Below are 20,507 nucleotides of genomic sequence, written 5' to 3'. Positions count from 1 at the left end.
AACTATGGACAGGCCATACGAGAGACTCACAGGTGCTTTTAAATCACGATCTTTATTTAGATTTGTGGTAAGGTCATGGAAAGGGGTAAATATCAGAAATCGCATTGTTCTAAAATTACTGAACAGTCATTTTATTTTTAAACTGTAATAATAAAGATTTACAAACTGAGGACATGAAAACTTAAAGAGAAATGTCTTGATTTTTATTTTTAGTGAATATGAATTTCTGAGATCTCTTGTACAATATTAAGACATATAAAAAGGCATATATAATGCCCCCTCATGAGCTGTTACCACAGATAAGAATCTCTTGTGAATTATTTAACCAGGTAACAATTGCTTTGACTAGAATCCCAACCCATGATGATTTTTATTCATCCTCTATCAACAATAGAGTACAAATATATTTTAAGAAATTTTGTCTTAATAAAAGTAATTAGAGTAAAGCAAATGATACCCCAGTTTATTGTAAAAGTGTTTTTTTAATTCCTTAATTATTCATTTTCTCTATCCAATTTCCAACGTTAAAACCACATGAAAGTTTGAAAACTTATTGAGGCAGAAGATACACACAGGGGTATGAAAACACTTAGAATTAGAATTAGCTTATAAAGTATATCTTGCAGATTAGGCATACTTTAAGCATGAAGACTCACTGAAAAGAAGGAAGAAAGAAATTCAGTATACGAGGTAAATAAAATAATCAGACTGGGATATATAGCTCATTTTTTCTTCAGTATTCCAGAATGATCTCATCAGCCATAGGCTTCTTGGTGGCTTAAACTCATTTCCTGCTGACTTTCAAGAGACCTATAGAACCCTGCACTTGGCAGTGACCCGTGGGCTTTGGGAACTCAAGGGGAGAAAGTGGAATGAGAAGTCAGATCACTGGACTAACTGTAATTGGCTACCCTTTCTTGCTCATTTTTTGAGCATATGCAAATTACTTACATAGTTTACACTGCAGATTTCCTGTTGATTACCTTGATTGGGACAACTCTTTCTGATTTTGGCAAGGACAAGGGAAAGCACTCAAAGCAGGAGGCTGCCATGGTGCTAACTCTCCAAGCTAATTTACAAACATGAACACATTGGGAGATTGAGCTTGATAGTCTCTCAATTTTGTTATTTCCTCCAATATGGCAATAATCATGTATTTAGATCACATGAGGAAATATGTACACCTAAAGTATTTAATTTTTTCTCCTTGACCACATAAATGGGAGATACACTAGGTCTACAATATTCACAAACATGAAGGTTGAGTTACTTGTCTTATTTACAAGCATTCTGTTATTATCTTCAAGCCATCCACAAATTTGTCCTTAGGACTTTTCCCATGATGATGTAGGAAGAGCAGAGATTTCTCTGTTTTTAGGAAGTGTTAGTTTTATTTGCATACAGCTTTTCATGCTATAATATTATTCATATGAGGTGAGGAATCAAGTAATGGTACATGCACAGTGTCACATTTAAGGAAAATTTTGTCCCACTTCGTTATATCTCAAATGGGTTCTTGGCTTAATTGCAAATATTAATAGTCTGTATCTTTATTTCCTTTCTGAAAACTCTTCTTCTGAATTATTTCTTTTTCTTGATAATTGAGAAAATATAAGCACAATATTTATATTCCAGCTATGTCTACCTGCTAACCACTCTTCTTTTTATAAAGTATTTTTAAAGGGTAAATTAATTGTAACTGATAGTATTATAGTATGTAACCATGTTATGGTATGTAACATTATAGTACATATATTCTTTTTACATAACTTCATACTACATGATAACATATTTTATAATTTCCCAATACCCACTATGTTTCCTCAAAGGTTATCATAAATATTTAGTGAGATAGCCCAGAGAATGCTTTTAGCCAACTGGCTGCACATAATAAGCATTTGTTATGTAAAAATTAATCAAAATGTAGTTCAACATGCTAATGTAAGGTTTACATAAGATAACTATGTAAAGGAAGAGATTTTCATTGTAGTTCCATACATCTTAGTTTCCTCCCTTTGTATTTGGTCAGCTCTTGGACTCAGTTCAGGGAACTCAGGTGAGGCAATGACTCAAGAACAAAAAAGCAAGCCAATTGGCCATTCAGGTCATTCATCAGTCTCATTTAGCATTGCACAGGTGAAAGAGAACAATGACAATGTGGAGAGACTAAAGCCTAACAACCTAAAACTTGTAACCTCGAGTTTTCGATAAAGCAAAATTCAATTCGGGTAACAAGTGATATTGAGTAACTAGTATGTCCTTTGCTCTGTATAACAAAAAACGGTAGTATCATGTTTATGATTAAAAATATTAGCTTTGCTGGAGGCATCAGGCTACCTGACTTCAAACTATACTACACGGCTATAGTAACCAAAACAGCACGGTACTGCTACCAAAACAGAGATATAGACCAATGGAACAAAACAGAGCCCTCAGAAATGATACCACACATCTACAACCATCTGATCTTTGACAAACCTGACAAAAACAAGAAATGCACAAAGGATTCCCTATTTAATAAATGGTGCCGGGAAAACTGGCCAGCCATATGTAGAAAGCTGAAACTGGATCCCTTCCTTACACCTTATACGAAAATTAATTCAAGATACATTAAAGACTTAAATGTTAGACCTAAAACCATAAAAACCCTAGAAGAAAACCTAGGCATTACCATTCAGGACATAGGCATGAGCAAGGACTTCATGTCTAAAACACCAAAAGCAATGGCAACAAAAGCCAAAATTGACAAATGGGATCTAATTAAACTAAAGAGCTGCACAGCAAAAGAAACTACCATCAGAGTGAACAGGCAACCTTCAAAATGGGAGAAAATTTTTGCAATCTACTCATCTGACAAAGGGCTAATATCCAGAGTCTACAAAGAACTCAAACAAATTTACAAGAAAAAAACAAACAACCCCATCACAAAGTGGGCGAAGGATATGAAGAGACACTTCTCAAAAAAAGACATTTATGCAGCCAAAAGACACATGAAAAAATGCTCATCACTGGCCATGAGAGAAATGCAAATCAAAACCACAATGAGATACCATCTCACACCAGTTAGAATGGTGATCATTAAAAAGTCAGGAAACAACAGGTGCTGGAGAGGATGTGGAGAAATAGGACCACTTTTGCACTGTTGGTGGGACTGTAAACTAGTTCAACCATTGTGGAAGACAGTGTGGCGACTCCTCAAGGATCTAGAACTAGAAATACCATTTGACCCAGCCATCCCATTACTGGGTATATACCCAAAGGATTATAAATCATGCTACTGTAAAGACACATGCATACGTATGTTTATTGTGGCACTATTCACAATAGCAAAGACTTGGAACCAACCCAAATGTCCATCAATGATAGACTGCATTAAGAAAATGTGGTACATATACACCATGGAATACTATGCAGCCATAAAAAATGAAGAGTTCATGTCCTTTGTAGGGACATGGATGAAGCTGGAAACCATCATTCTCAGCAAACTATCACAAGGACAAAAAACCAAACACCGCATGTTCTCACTCATAGGTGGGAATTGAACAATGAGAACACTTGGACACAGGAAGGGGAACATAACACACTGGGGCCTGTCATGGGGTTGGGGGAGGGTAGAGGGATAGCATTAGGATTTATAGCTAATGTAAATGACGAGTTAATGGGTGCAGCACACCAACATGGCGCATGTATACATATGTAACAAACCTGCACGCTGTGCACATGTACCCTAGAACTTAAAGTATAATAAAAAAAATTAGCTTTGCTTAATAATGACATTTAATAATGACATTTCATAATGCTAGGTTATTCAAATTTTACTGTCAAAAACTAATATCTATTAATAACATAGATTTAATTGCTACTAGAAATATATTTTCTAAAGGAATTTAGGGCCCAGATGTATGAAAGAGGAATGCCTGAAAAAAAAATTAGAAAGCAGGTTAATACACCGTTAAATTAATATTATATGTGAAAAGCAGATATGCAATGAATGACATTCAAAAGAAAATCACAAATGTGTTTACCTAGGTATAATAAAAGCTTAGGACTACAAAGATTAAAAGACATAGCACAGTATTGGAAATATGTCAGCCACAAGGCTCAGAAATAGAAGGTTACAATCAAGTATATACCTATTATGTACCCACAAAAATTAAAAATAGAAAAATCAAGCAAACCAACTGGACAAACATTGAAATTTTTTATAAAAAGAGACAAACACAAATAGGAGATTAACAAATAGGAATACCAATGCCTAAAACAAACACAACAGAGATGTTAAAATTTTATTTTAAAAATTTAAAGTAATACAGATTAAGACAATACAATGTCATTTTTACCTATCAAATGAGTGAGTATTTGGTAAAAGAATAATTCCCAATAATGGTGGAGTCTGTTAATAGACACAGTTATACTCTGTTAGTTAGAATGTAACTTGCTGTTAATCATAGAAAAAAGGATATATTAATACAAATACAGTAGGTATCAGAGCAAAAAGTATAACCAAAGATCAAGAAATCATTTTATAATGTTTAGTGTTTCAGTTCATTAAGAAAATACAACAATCTTAAACGTATAAACAGTTAATAACACAACTTCAAAATATACGAAATAAAAACTGCTAGAACCTCTAGGAGAATTAAACAAATCCACAATTATAGTCAAAGCTTTTAATTGTGTTCTCTCAATACTTCAGATGTTAAGTTCTCAATACTTGAGAGAACAAGTATAGAGAAAATAAGTAGATGTTGAAGATTTGAACACTACTGACTAGCTCAATCTAATTGACATTTATAGAACACTTCAGCCCAGAACAGCAAAACACACATTCTTTTCAAATGCACATGAAACAATAACTTACATATAATATATTCTGAGACATAAAACAAGTCTCAATAGATTTAAAGAGATAGAAGTACTATTAATATAAGCATGTTTCCTGACCACAGTGAGATTAAATTAGAAATCAATAGCAGAAAGATCCATGAAAATTCCCTTAATGTTCGGTTAACAAAAATTAAATTTCTAAATGGCACATGGGTTAAGAAAAAAATCAGAAGCGACATTAGAAAGCATCGTTAATGGAGTAAAAATAAAAACACAACATGTCAAAAATTGTGAGATGCCACTAGCTACTACTGTAGTGCCTAAGGGGAATATAGCACTTAACATCTACATTAGAAAAGAAGAATGGTCTCACAGCAGTAGGCTCAGCATCTACATTAAGAAATAAGAAAAAGAAAATCAAATTAAACAAAATTTAAGAAGAAAGGGAATATGAAAGATCAGAATGGAAACCAATGAAACAGAAAGCAGAAAACCTATTCGGAAAATCAATAAAGGCAAAACTGGTGCTCTGTAAATATCTAAAATGGATAAACCTCTAATCTCACTGATCAGGGATAAAAGTGAGGAGATTCAAATTATTTATATTAAAAATGGGAGAGCTAACATCATTGCAGATTCTACAAATATTGAAAGAATAATAAGGGAATAGTATAATAAACTGTAGCAATAAATCTAATGATATAGATAAAATGAACAAATCCTTTGAAAGATAAAATCTGCCAAAGCTCACTCGTAAAGAAATAGGTAAGCTGAAGAGCTCTATAAATATTTGTAAACAATGTTATTAGTTAAAAATTTTCCCAAATAGAATACTCCAGACCCTGATGGCATTTTATCGTATTTCAAAGAATCAATAACATCGAAATCTAACAAAATATTTTTTTAGAAAACAGAAGGGAAGTAAACATTGCCAAACTCATTATAAGAGACCAGCGTATTCCTAATAACAAAACTTAGCAGACATCACTAAAAAAGAGGAAGGCAGGAAGGCAGGAAGGTGGGAAGGAAAGAAGGAAGGATGGAAGGAAGAAAGGAAGGGAGGAAGGAAGGAAGGGAGGGAGGGAGGGAGGGAGAGGGAGGGAGGGAGGAAAGGTGCAGACTTATAAAGAAAGTCTTTAAAATATTATCAACTATTGGTGTTGTAGGCTGAATTGTGACTACCCCAAATTTATATGTAGAAGTCCTAACCCCAAGTGCCTCAGAATGTGATTGTAGTGGAAAGAAGTTCTTAAAACAGGTAATTAAGTTTAAATTGAGGTAATTTAAGTGGGTCTTAATCCAATATGAGTGGTATAAGAAGGGGAAATTTGGACACACATGAAGAGGGAAGGTGATATGAAGACACAGGGAGGTGACGACTATCAACAAGCTAGGGAGAGAGGCCTGGAACAGTCCTCAAGAGAAGCCAACCTTGGTGACAACTTGATCTTGGATTTCTAGCCTTTAGAACTGCAAGAAAATTAATTATTTGTTGTTGAAGCCTCCAAGTCTGTGGTATTTTGTTACAATAACCCTAGCAAACTACTATAATTCACAAATTCAATCAGCAGTGTATAAATAAGATAATATATTATGCCATATTAGGGTTTATGCCACAAATAGAAGGTGAGTTGGTTAAAGATTTGAGAATTAATTTATGTAATTCATCATATTAGGAGAATAAATAAAAGTTACTATGGGGTCATTTAAATGAATAAGTCCGAGTCTCAAAACTGAAGAACTTGGAGTCCAGCGTTCAAGGGCAGGAAGCATCCAGCCCGGGAGAAAGATGTAGGCTGGGAGGCTAGGCCAGTCTCTCCTTTTCATGTTTTTTCTGCCTGTTTTATATTCCCTGGCAGCTGATTAGATTGTGCCCACCAGATTAAGGGTGGATCTGCCTTTCCCAGCCCACTGACTCAAATGTTAATCTCTTTTGGCAATACCCTCACAGACACACCCAGGATCAATACTTAGTATCCTTCAATCCAATCAAGCTGACAGTATTAACCATTTTGCATATATATATATATGCCAAAAAAAACCCACTTGCAGCATATGCCACAAATTTCTCTCATACAAAATACAACTCCTATCAGCTAGAAAGAAACAGATCAGTGACCCCCAATCATGGAAAAGGATATAAACTGAGAGTTCACAGAAGGAGACACACAAATAAATGGCTATTAACTATAGTATTAGACATTCAGTCTCATCCATCATGTGAGAAATACAAAGAAAAAAGTCTGAAATACCATTTTTCTCTTAACACAGTATCATTTTTAACAAAATCTTAGCATTTATTGGCAGGATATTATGAAACAGGCACCATCATACACTTTTATTGGTAATACGATTTCAAAAAAATGGTACCCTTATAAAATATTTATTACGCTTTAAATTTTACAGATACTTTGTCTTATTATGTCAGAGGCTTGTCATTACCTACTTATTCTCTAGTCTTTTATTCTCAGTAACACAACATGAATGTGGGTACCTGCAATGAGGATTTATCAACCTTCCTAGCACCTAAGCATGGCGATATGAAAAAGTTGTAGGTCATAAAATACAAATGGAATATTTGTTATATGACCAGCAGAAAATTCCTTTAAAAGATCTGATTCAGCTGGACAGAGCTCCCTTTAGCTAAAACTTGGACATGATGATTGAAGCTACAGCAGACATGCATCCCAAAGTGGCATTGAGGATAGAGACCATAAGCTGAGTGAGCTGACTGTATGGAGGAGCCAAAAGAGGTAAGACTGTTCCCTGTGACTGTCCTTGATGAAAGTACTGTGTTGGCATTCCTGTCCTGTATTAGAATCCATTCCGGTGGATTTCTTCATTTATTTTATTTACTTTTTTTGAGACAAGGTCGGCTCTGTCATCCAGGCTGGAGTGCAGTGGCATGATCTCCGCTCATTGCAACGTCCACCTCCAGGGCTCAAGCCATTCTCCCACCTCAGTCTTCCAGGTAGCTGGGACTACAGGCACATACCAACAGACCCAGCTAATTTTTGTATTTCTTTGTAGAGATCAGGTTTTACCATGTTACCCAGGCTGGTCTCGAACTTCTGAGCTCAAGCAATCCTCCCATCTAGGCCTCCCAAAGTGCTAGAATTACAGGTGTGAACCACCACATCTGGCCTATTCCAGTGGATTTCTTATAGGAAAGACTAAAATGTAAATAAAGATCTTCAAAATGCTTAAGTATATACCAGTAGAGAACTGTTTAACTAGATAATAGTATACAGCCATGTAAGATATCAGCAGTTTAAAGGAATGGTACGGTTTTTTATGACTGATAGGTAATGATCTCTATGATATATTACTTAGTAAAAGATGCAAGATTCCCTGAATCAATGCAAGTGATATTTCAAAGTAGCAGTAATTCCATGAACAAGACAGTATCTAGCAGAGTTCAACCATATAACCACTGGAGAAAAAAAAAAGTGAACATGGACAATTCTCAGTGCTTAAAAGTAAAACAATTTAAATATCAAAAGGTAAACAGTAGTATTCTTGAAGAACTAATGAAGTTCCTAAATATATATTAGTAATGTCTATTCATGTGGTTTTAGCTTGGAGAGTAAAATGTAAAGTAAAGATGTCCTGTAATGCTTTCATACAATTTTGGAGTGAAAATTATTCCAAAATGAAACAAAATTAATATGTTATTCATTTGATTAATTAATGCAATATTATGATTATAATGATAATTTTTGATTACATACAAGATATTACTTGTATGTAGCTTTCAAACCATGTCACAATCAACCTTTTCTTTGTATACTATGAGGCTGCCATATTAATGATGGGATATGCAATTAAATTTGAATTTATATAAACATGAAAAAATTTTAGTATAAGTGTGTCCTATATATGTGTCTTATGCAGTATTTGCATGGAGTATAAGCATATGAAAAATATTTCTTGTTGTTTATCTGACATTTGAATTTAACTAGGTGTCCTGTATCTGTATTTTCTAAATCTGGAAACCACAATACATAATATGCTACTTATCATTTTAATTGTATTTTATTTGGATCATTTCTCTAATACCAATCATCTCAGGAAAATGAAAACTTTCTAAATCGTAATAAAAGTCTAGAAGGAAGTATCATCAGCACTTTTTGTACTTTATTATCCAAAGTTTTTATAAAGAATAAGTATTACCTTTAAATTCAGAAAAATGGTATTTCAGAGCAAAATAACAAAACAACATGATATACTAGTCAGAAGTGCCTGGAGTGTAAAGGGAATTCATCCAATTATAAAGACAACATGTATAAAAACAAAGAAAAAACTGCTAAGTGTTGAAGGATAGGGAAAAAAGCAAACACAATTTTATTTTTATTTTATTGCATTTTTGTTATGGTTTCAGGGAATGTTTTGGTTGAACTCTGTTAGTTTATAAAAGGTTTGTGCTTTCACACCTGATAAAGTGAGAAACAGAATGAACAGGTTGATGAAGGGTGACACTGTGTATGACTCTAAACATTTAGTAAAGAGTAAAATTTGCATAGATCGGTAATTTTTAATTATACATAAGAATTAATAAAAACATCCAAAGGAAGTAATATTAAACAAAGGACAGATATGTGTTGGTATCTTCAGTTATTAAGCCTTACTTGTAAATTTATATAGGGTTAACAATTTTGCAATGACCCATGGTTTTTTGAGTACCTAGAATTCTGCTTGTAACAGAAAAGGTTATTGTATTAGTCAGGGTTCCCCAGAGATAAAGAACCAATAGTATCTATGTATCTATCTATCTATTACATAGAAATATTAAAGATTTATTAGGGGGATTGGTTCATGTGATTATGGAGATTGAGAAGTGCTATGATAAGCCATCTGCAAGCAAGATAACCAGGAAAGATGATAACTTGGCACAGTTCAATTCTGAAGGCCTAAGAACCAGGGAAGCTGATGGTGTAACTCCCAGACCAAGACTGAAGCCCTGAGAATCTGGAGTTTTGATGTCCGAAAAGGATGTCCAAGCTCAGAGGAGAGAAAGAATGAATTATACTTTCCTCTTCTTTTTTGTTCTATCTGAGCCCCCAGCCAATTGGATGATACCTACGTACATTGGGTGAGGGAAGATCTTCCCTACACAGACACTGACTCACATGCCAATCTCCTACAAAAACACCCTCGCAGACACACCCAGAAGTAATGCTTTGCCATCTAACTGGGTATCCCTTAATCCAGTCAGGTTGGTACCTAAAATTAACCACCATAGTTATCCATCAGTGTTTGCTGAATCATTGATAAATGAATGAACAAATTGCATAAAGTGGGTTGCGTGGGATGTTCCAATGTTTATATGCCAGTACCAGTGAATAGCTGCTTTGCATTTCATGTCATATGAGTTATAGAATCTCAGCTCAGCACAATCAGTAATAGTGTGCTGCATATTTTTAAAGAAACAAGTTGCTAAGCATGCACCATTAGGGATCCTTTTTCTTTATACTTCCCAGATGGAACTGAATATTTAGCAACAGTGCCTCAATTACACTTGTGTAATATAACAGAAACTTTCCAAGCTGTTATGTCACAATATCTAGAAGACTACTTGAAACCTGCCTTTAAATCATTCTCCTTATGATCTCTCTCATATTATGCAATACCAGGTCCACTAAGTTGTTTATTTTTCCTTATGGTAGTGTATGCACCAAGGGTCATATAGACAAATAGGTTCATTTTTGTTAACTCTCTTGGTTTGCATTTTCCCTGCTAGGTAATTTATTCTGTTATCACCATCAATAATTGTATTGATGCCCATGGCTGGTATAATACAGCTGGTACTAAAAAAGACTTGCATAATTGAAATGGAAAATACAGCATTTGATATGAGTTCAAACTCAAGAATAATGGTTTTTGTGAACTTGTGTTTACTTTTATTAACTTTCCACAATCAATGTTTTCACTTACTTTGTGTTCTCTTGCATTAAAGCTGATTTGAGTTATTCAAGCTACAGGACACATTTTCTTGATTGTATTTTAGTGAGCAACCATTATGCTAGAAATCAACACAAGGAAATGAAAATGTATCTTCCTGCATCTTAATTAGCATCTGTTTCATTTAGGTAGTGATTACATAAATGTAAAATGGAAAAGGTTTCATGTTGATCTTTCTTTAAAGGTTTTTAAGTCATTTCTATATTAAATTTGGTTTTTGCTTTTCAAATGTCATGAGGGAAGAATAATCTGCAACTAGGTACCAATTGTATAATTTTTTTCTGTTTTGTTGAATATTTTATGTTGTTTCTTAAAAACATAATATTTCAAAGATAACATTAGGAAGAGATTTGTTGCCTAGACCAATGCCAATCGTTTTACTGATGCTATAAACTCTTTTGAAATCTTATATAACAAAGGAAACCCACAAGGTCATCAATAACTTGGGTTTTTCTACTCAATATTGGTCTTAGCCCTTCTATTCCAAGCAGCACTGTCAACAAATGTTTCTTCTTTGGAAAGGCTTTAAGGGTTCAAGCTATAGCAGGCTAGAGGATAGAAGTAGCTAATACTATAGTCTTTTAGAAGTCAGAATAAAACCCTCTACAGGGATGTCTCTGACTTAGTATAAAATGAAAACTATGCTCAGACATTCCTATATAAAAGAAGGTAATTATGAAGGACATAAACAGCAATCATCCTTGCTTCTAAATGTGCAAATTGAATCTATGAAATACATGCAAAAGATTGTCTTCATGGAATTTTTAAAGTAAACTAAGGCCCCAAGTGGATCTGTTGATAAGAGACGGAGGGGAGTAGGGGAGATGATGTTTGAACCTATAACATCAGTGGCCTTAGCATAGATCATATTATTCTTATCTAGCTGAATTTGTATAAAAATTAAGTATTTCTTTTAAACTACTGTCTGTGATCAAGTCAAAAATAATATCATATCTGTTATTTTCCTACGTGTACTGAACTAGTTTTGTGGTGAGATTTATCACCTTCTTGCTTGGAAATTAATGATGTGTGAAGGACTTAATAGCCACACAGTATCCAATGCTCCTGAGGATATCGTGTCGAAATAAAAGTTGTTTTATTCTGGAAATACGTTGCACCATGTGAAATGACTGTGCCTAGGGTGTTTTTTATTCTGTTGCTTTAATCTATCACATAAATTAGCTTTTCAGACACTTTAAGTTAACACAAAAATAGAACTATCTCATCACGAAGAAGAGTTGACTTTTAGATGACCCTGGATTCCAAGGAAGAGCTATATCCATTGAGTCCATGAAAAGCAGCTCTGGGGGAGTCACAATTGGATTGGTAATTAATGATTCAGTGAAAAGGACACATGAAGGTTCAAAGTAGAAAAAAATGATGGTAAGATGGTGATTGCATGAGGTATTTCTGCAAGACAACGTAATACATTTTCACAAAGTAGAAATGTGTTGTCAGGTGGCTAATAAATCAGTCTCCTCACTTCCTTCTGTTTGAAAGTGGCATCTGTTAAAGACACCTTCTCAATCCTTCCTAAATTCCTACTGAAATTTAAAAAATCAAGATTTTGCAACACTCAGGATTAGGATTGAGAGTGAATCAGTATCCAAAATCTACAGGAAATTTACAGTAGTCACAAAATCTATGGTCCAGCAAATGGCAATAAAATGAGGCAAGAAATGGATGGCCCTAGTATGATAAGCTTCCAGACATTGAGCAGAACTTTCATCAAGAAGGAGAAGGGAAAACCATAGCCTGCCCACTGATTTATCATCTGCCCTCTCAGCTGTGGAGATGATGCTATCTGAGAGACATGCAACTGGTCCCATTTTTGCATCATGACAACCAACCTTCAGGAGGCCGTCACTGATGACTTGCCATCCTGCTTCGTTTTCTGAGTTATTTATTTTCCTACCACCTTGTAAAACTACTTCACAAATTCTCCTCTACACTCAGTCCCCAATATCCCCTCCCCTCATACTCAGATGATGAGCTTCTTATTTCACAGAAAATTTTATTTTTAAATGAGAAGAATACATACATGTTTCCACCACAACTGACCAATCTACTTATACGAGTATCCATTTTCTCTTCCTTCCTTTGTATTGCAATAAACTGCTCATCATTGTACACTGGGTCTCCGACCCTCTCAAGGGCTTGCTTTCTCAATTAGTCCTTTTCTCTCCCTCATTTGCAGATTTCTTTCCCCACTGCACAAAAACATCCTGTAAAAATTTTCTCTTTGAACACATCCACACACACACACACACACACACACACCACACAGCAGCCTCCCTTGATCCAACATTTCTTTTCTATCTACCATCACATTTCTGTGTCTCTACTTAAAAAAACAAATCTTTGAATATAGCTATCTGTTTATAACTTCTGTCTCCATATGTCTCTTTTCATTTTCTCTTGATTGCACTCCAATCAATCTTTAGCTCTCATCCCTCCAATAAAATTAATTTTGTTAAGGTCACCAATAGTTCCATATTGCTGAAACCAATGATTAATTCTCACTACTTACATTATTCAAATCTTAATTATTATGCACATAATGAAAAAGCCTCAAAATATGTTATCATTTACAAATATGGAACTCTGCCAAATTTGATCAACCAAAAGGAGAACTAGATAAATTTATAGTTATACTGGGAGATTTTAACTGCACCTTTCTCAGTAACTAGGAGTTTAAGTAGAAAAGAAAAACAGGAAATGGTATAAAAAAATTTGAACACTGTCATTTATCACTTTGTCCCAGTTAAAACTCTATAGTGTGAAATATATATAGTTTTCAAGTGCACATAGAACATTTACCAAAATCATCCATATGATGCTCAGTCAAGCAAATCTTCATAAATCTAAAAAAATTATAATAATTCAGAGTATGTTTTATACTATAAAAATTGAAAATCAATAACTAAAAGGTATTTTTGAAAAGCAAATGTTTGGACTCTAAGAAATATACATCTAGAGAATCTAGGATTGTAAGAAGCAATCAAGTGGAAGCTAGAAAATAATTAACATGAATAACTATAGAAAATATATCAAATGTGTAGATGCAACTAAACAATGCTTAAAGGAAAATGTATAGCCTTAGCTGCATAATCAGAACAGAATAAAGGCTGAAAAATTAATGATCTATGTGTTCATTTCAAGAATTTAGATGAATAACAGATTAACCCAAAGGATGTAGACAGAAGGAAATAATGAAGAATAAATATAAAAGTAGAAACCAATGAAATAGAAAACAAATATACTAGAGAAAAGCGACAAAGGCAAAATGTTACCTGTTAAAAGGACTAATACGTTCGATAAATCTCCGGCAAGGCTAATCTAAAAGAAAATAGAGAGGACAGCATAAAGGAGAGAAGAGAAGGGAAGATGAGAGAGACAGAGAGAGAGAGAGAGAGAGAGAGCTCTAATTACCAATATTGAAAATTGTTTTTAAAGATTTATTTATCTATACATGGGTGTATACGCTATGAAACACTTTAATATAATATTAACAACTAAATGTCAATACATTTTGTAATTTAGATAAATATTTGAATGCACAGAAAAAAAGCAACACTCACCTGAAATAAGTAGAAAACGTGAATAAACCTATAAAGGTAACAGAAATGAATTCTGAAATTCAAAATTATTCCACGAAAACTGAGCAAACTGAAACCAGCAATATATAGAAAGAATAGCATGTCATGACAAAGTGCAGGTTTTTTTTTAACAAAATGCAAAGCTGCTTTAACATTTTAAAACCCAATATTATTCTACATGTAAACCCAATAAAAAAGAAAAGCATTGTCATCTTCTGAAAAGGTACAGAAAAGCTGCATACATTCGTCAGAAAACATCTTAATACACTTGGAATAAAAGATAAGTATCTAATCCCATAAAGAATATTGAGGAAATTTTATAGCAAAAAAATGATACTTAATGGTGAAATATGTAAACCTTTTTCATGAGACTGAAAATGTTGCATTATCACCATTCATATTTGACATCATACTAAAGGTTGTTGCAGCTTTATAAGACCAGAAAAAGAAACAAGATTTACGATTATTAGAAAGAAAGAAATAATTTTCAGACTAGGAATTGAGTACCTAGGAAATTCAAAGAATAATCTTATAATTAATATGTGAATTTAGCAAGGCCACTGAATTTAGTGTCAGTATATAAAAATCAGTTATATTCCTATATACTAGCAACAAATAACCAGTAAATATTGAAAACATTACCCTTTAAGTAGCATCAAAAAGAAACATCAAATATCTAGGAATACATACATTTAATGAAAGGCAAATGTTCCATTTTTGTCTAACATGTAAAGAGATGAAAAGACTGTCCCAACCCAATAATAAGAAAAATTCAAATGAACTAGTAAGTAATAACTTTTTCTGAAGCTGTCAGAGATCTAAGGACACAAAGTAACAAAGAACAATAAATTCTAGTGAGGCACAGGCTTCCCTAAAAAGAAAGGGGACATAGGATTTTCTCACCTGTGGCATACCATGTGTAGTAGTCGTTCTCATGCAGCTAACAAAGACATACCCGAGACTGGATAATTTATGAAGGAAAAAGGTTTAATGGACTCACAGTTCCACATCGCTGGGGAGGCCTCACAATCATGGTGGAAGATGAAGGAAGAGCAAAGGAATGCCTTACATGGTGGCAGCTAAGAGAAAATTTGTGCAGGGGAACTCCCCTTTATAAAACCATCAGATTCATGAGACTTACTCACTATCATGACAACAGCATGGGAAAGACCTACCCCCATGATTCAATTACCTCCTACTGGGTCTCTCCCATGAAATGTGGGAATTATGGGAGCTACAATTCTAAGAGGAGATTTGAGTGGGAACACATCCAAACCATATCATCATGGGAGGAAGAGGTGCCCACCATCATGTAGGAAGTAGGTAAGAAGAAATCAGCTCACCCATTGCTACTAACGGAAAGTCAGAAGAAACACTTCTATACCCCTGGGTGAAGGTAGAAAGGATCCTAGGCCTGGGATTTTATCCATATGAGTAGTGAACTACTACTGCTGCAGAAGAGGCAGGGAAATGTTTCCTGCATAAGAAATTGTACAGTTTCAAATCGGAATAAGACTGAAATGAAGAAGGGATGCATGAATACCTAGCTTGCCTCACCTGCAAAGCTCAGGTGCACAGATCTATGTCAGTTTGAGGATAGGCCAGGAAAACAGAGAACCAACCATGCTTCCCACCAGACGCTGACCAAGCACTGAGGATGCCACTGAGGAGGGGCAGGCCATGGATAGATATCCTCTTGCGGTGTCCTCATTCATTGAGGGTATAATTCAAACATCGATAGGCACCTTCTGGCACCTCAGCCCCCAGCCTAGGCACAATACACACTCAAGGAATTTGAGACCTATGTGTACAGAAAGTAACCATAGCAACAACAAATCCAAACTCAGCTCAACTTTGACAACTCAACACTCCACATAAATCGCCTTACAAAAGAAAAGAAAAACCTTTTTTGGGTGTAAATACTCTTTACCTCAGTCCTTACTACTCTATACACTATGTCTGGGATTTAATAAAAATTCATGAGGCATACAACAATGAAAGGAAAAACAACCCACTATCAAGACACATGGTCATCAGTAAAACCAGTCTTAGAGAACACACAGGTGTTGTGACTATCAGACAGAGACATTAAAATGACTATGATCACTACCTGGAAGATCTGGTGGAAAAAATAGTTATTATGTATGAATGGTTTGGAAATTTAAGCAGAGGGATAGAAATGCAAAGAAAGATCAAATGGAAAAATAAAGAATTTCTTTAGTGGCTCATTAATAAATTTGACACAACTGAGGAAATGATCAGTAACTTGAAGCTAAGTCAATAGAAATTACCCAAATTAAAACACAAACATACACACACACACACACAAAACAGTGAAATGAAAAGAGCCTCTAAAGGCTGTCAAGCAATGATAAATGGTCTAACATACATGTAATTGGTGTTCCAGAAGCAGAATAGAGAGAATTAGGCAAGAAATTAGAAAACAAGCAGTACAAACCAGCGATGTCTGAGAGAAGGAAAACAAATTAGGTGAACCCTACCATTGGCCCAGTTCACTGCCTTCTGGAAGGAGTTTCAAGACCATAGCACAGAGTGGGCAATCTCACTGCACTGGAGTTTGGGGAGACCAAGGTAGCTACATTTCACAGGACAAAACACTGCCCAATAGGTTGCTGCATAATGAGAAGGCTTGGAAAATCTGCAGAAGCGTGCCCTGGAGTGTTTAAGTACTGATTGGCACATGCATGTGAAAGACCTAATCAAAGCTGGAGAAAGAAACACCAGAAATTTCCATGGTTTCTCTCCTTACTTTCCTACTGCTTTTGAAACCCCTGAACTCTGCTCTCTAACTTCTCAGGCCAAAGAGTGCTGCTTTCTGCTTGAGCCCTAGTTCCCTTACTCCCCAGTAATCCCAGTAACAGGGGAGTGTTCAAGGGGAGAAGGCCATTTCAAAGTGGATTTCACCTGGTATTTTCTTCTTTCAAGGTTGGCAACCCCTCTGGTTTCTACTTCCCTTGGACATTCATCCAATACTTTCAAATAGTTGCTTTTTATATTTCAACCAAAGTTTATAATTGTTGTCAGCAGGAGGGTTAGTTTGACACAAGACACTCTGCCATTGTGGAGTCTCTGTCCCTGCACTATAAATACTTGCATCACTGATTGAGTGTACTTTCTGCCATTAGTCTGTTACTGCCAAGTTATTTACCGTCAAGTGATTTAATCAAGTTGGCAGCCAGCAGCACATCCATTTTTGTCATTCATTTGTTTGTTTTTAGTAAGCTTTAAATAAACAGCTGGAGATAACTCAAGGACTGCTTCTAATTGAAAAGGCTTTAGCCAACAAGAGAGGCATTTTTGAGGCTCTTAGAGTTTTCCAACTATGTAAATACTGAACTAAAATTTTGACTGCATTCATTGTTGGTAAGAGATGAAGATTTTTCATATACCTGGGGAAACAGGAGAATTTTCCAACAATATTCAATACTTCTAACAAGTGTGCTTTCTCTGCTCTGGCAAGTTCCTATCCAAAAAAATAAAAGACAGGTCTCTGTCGTCTCCTTTTCCATTTACATTCAAATACCCTAATTAATCCCAGTACACTTTCATGTGTTCAAAAGTTATGTGTAAACTTAGTGAGAAATGTTTTCATTTATTTTGTATTTATGAAGTGCCTGAAAGCACCAAGAACAACAATAAAACTTGCCATGTATTTGTATCAAAATCCTCTCGATTAAGAATGCCTTTTAAATATCAAGAATTCCATTGCTGTCATATAGCTGTGAAGTTATTTTGAATTGTATTAAACCACTAAAAAAGAAACCCTTCTATATAGACAAAAACTCTTCATGAGATATACAAACATAAAATTGTTGAGAGCTGTAAAAGCCTAGATTTTCATTTAGAGTTAAGAATAGCCAAGATGGCCGAATAGGAACAGCTCTGGTCTACAGCTCCCAGCGTGAGCAACGCAGAAGACGGGTGATTTCTGCATTTCCATCTGAGGTACCGGGTTCATCTCACTAGGGAGTGCCAGACAGTGGGCGCAGCTCAGTGGGTGTGCGCACCGTGCGCGAGCCAAAGCAGGGCGAGGCATTGACTCACCTGGGAAGCACAAGGGGTCAGGGAGTTCCCTTTCCGAGTCAAAGAAAGGGGTGACGGACGACAACTGGAAAATCGGGTCACTCCCACCCGAATACTGCGCTTTTCCGACGGGCTTAAAAAACGGCGCACCACGAGATTATATCACACGCTTGGCTCGGAGGGTCCTACGCCCACGGAGTCTCGCTGATTGCTAGCACAGCAGTCTGAGATCAAACTGCAAGGCTGCAGCGAGGCTGGGGGAGGGGCGCTCGCCATTGCCCAGGCTTGATTAGGTAAACAAAGCAGCCTGGAAGCTCGAACTGGGTGGAGCCCACCACAGCTCAAGGAGGCCTGCCTGCCTGCCTCTCTAGGCTCCACCTCTGGGGGCAGGGCACAGACAAATAAAAAGACAGCAGTAACTTCTGCAGACTTAAATGTCCCTGTCTGACAGCTTTGAAGAGAGCAGTGGTTCTCCCAGCACGCAGCTGGAGATCTGAGAACGGGCAGACTGCCTCCTCAAGTGGGTCCCTGACCCCTGACCCCCGAGCAGCCTAACTGGGAGGCACCCCCCAGCAGGGGCACACTGACACCTCACACACGGCAGGGTATTCCAACAGACCTGCAGCTGAGGGTCCTGTCTGTTAGAAGGAAAACTAACAAACAGAAAGGACATCCACGCCAAAAACCCATCTGTACATCACCATCATCAAAGACCAAAAGTAGATAAAACCATAAAGACAGGGAAAAAACAGAACAGAAAAACTGGAAACTCTAAAAAGCAGAGCACCTCTCCTCCTCCAAAGGAACGCAGTTCCTCACCAGCGACGGAACAAAGCTGGATGGAGAATGACTTTGACGAGCTGAGAGAAGAAGGCTTCAGATGATCAAATTACTCTGAGCTACGGGAGGACATTCAAACCAAAGGCAAAGAAGTTGAAAACTTTGAAAAAACTTTAGAAGAATGTATAACTAGAATAACCAATACAGAGAAGTGCTTAAAGGAGCTGATGGAGCTGAAAACCAAGGCTCGAGAACTGCGTGAAGAATGCAGAAGCCTCAGGAGCCGATGCGATCAACTGGAAGAAAGGGTATCAGCAATGGAAGATGAAATGAATGAAATGAAGTGAGAAGGGAAGTTTAGAGAAAAAGGAATAAAAAAAAATCAGCAAAGCCTCCAAGAAATATGGGACTATGTGAAAAGACCAAATCTACGCCTGATTGGTGTACCTGAAAGTGATGGGAAGAATGGAACCAAGTTGGAAAACACGCTGCAGGATATTATCCAGGAGAACTTCCCCAATCTAGCAAGGCAGGCCAACATGCAGATTCAGGAAATACAGAGAACGCCACAAAGATACTCCTCGAGAAGAGCAACTCCAAGACACATAATTGTCAGATTCACCAAAGTTGAAATGAAGGAAAAAATGTTAAGGGCAGCCAGAGAGAAAGGTCGGGTTACCCTCAAAGGGAAGCCCATCAGACTAAGACGGGATCTCTTGGCAGAAACCCTACAAGCCAGAAGAGAGTGGGGGCCAATATTCAACATTCTTAAAGAAAAGAATTTTCAACCCAGAATTTCATATCCAGCCAAACTAAGCTTCATAAGTGAAGGAGAAATAAAATACCTTACAGACAAGCAAATGCTGAGAGATTTTGTCACCACCAGGCCTGCCTTACAAGAGCTCCTGAAGGAAGCACTAAACATGGAAACGAACAACCGGTAACAGCAGCTGCAAAATCATGCCAAAATGTAAAGACCATCGAGACTAGGAAGAAACTGCATCAACCAACAAGCAAAGTAACCAGCTAACATCATAATGACAGGATCAAATTCACACATAACAATATTAACTTTAAATGTCAATGGACTAAATGCTCCAATTAAAAGACACAGACTGACAAATTGGATAAAGAGTCAAGACCCATCAGTGTGCTGTATTCAGGAAACCCATCTCATGTGCAGAGACACACATAGGCTCAAAATAAAAGGATGGAGGAAGATCTACCAAGCCAATGGAAAACAAAAAAAGGCAGGGGTTGCAATCCTAGTCTCTGATAAAACAGACTTTAAACCAA

General features: G+C 36.1%; 4 annotated features.

Moving 5' to 3' along the window:
- Nucleotides 17,482-18,681: an enhancer, noted in NCBI's record as "MED14-independent group 3 enhancer chr2:229290319-229291518 (GRCh37/hg19 assembly coordinates)". NCBI's record gives its function as "activates an origin of replication core promoter dependent on BRD2, BRD4, P300/CBP and CDK7 cofactors, and independent of MED14, by STARR-seq in HCT116 cells {active_cell/tissue: HCT116}" and the evidence as "EXISTENCE:reporter gene assay evidence [ECO:0000049][PMID:35650434]".
- Nucleotides 17,482-19,210: a biological region, named in NCBI's record as "MED14-independent group 3 enhancer GRCh37_chr2:229290319-229291518".
- Nucleotides 18,011-18,609: an enhancer, noted in NCBI's record as "NANOG-H3K27ac-H3K4me1 hESC enhancer chr2:229290391-229290989 (GRCh37/hg19 assembly coordinates)". NCBI's record gives its function as "activates a minimal SCP1, AML or CMV promoter by ChIP-STARR-seq in primed H9 embryonic stem cells {active_cell/tissue: H9 hESC(primed)}" and the evidence as "EXISTENCE:reporter gene assay evidence [ECO:0000049][PMID:30033119]".
- Nucleotides 18,610-19,210: an enhancer, noted in NCBI's record as "NANOG-H3K27ac-H3K4me1 hESC enhancer chr2:229289790-229290390 (GRCh37/hg19 assembly coordinates)". NCBI's record gives its function as "activates a minimal SCP1, AML or CMV promoter by ChIP-STARR-seq in primed H9 embryonic stem cells {active_cell/tissue: H9 hESC(primed)}" and the evidence as "EXISTENCE:reporter gene assay evidence [ECO:0000049][PMID:30033119]".

This window comes from Homo sapiens, chromosome 2, assembly GCF_000001405.40.
Source record: "Homo sapiens chromosome 2, GRCh38.p14 Primary Assembly".
NCBI lineage: Eukaryota > Metazoa > Chordata > Mammalia > Primates > Hominidae > Homo > Homo sapiens.
Note: the sequence above shows the minus strand (reverse complement) of the source record. Positions and strands in the feature narration are given on the sequence as shown.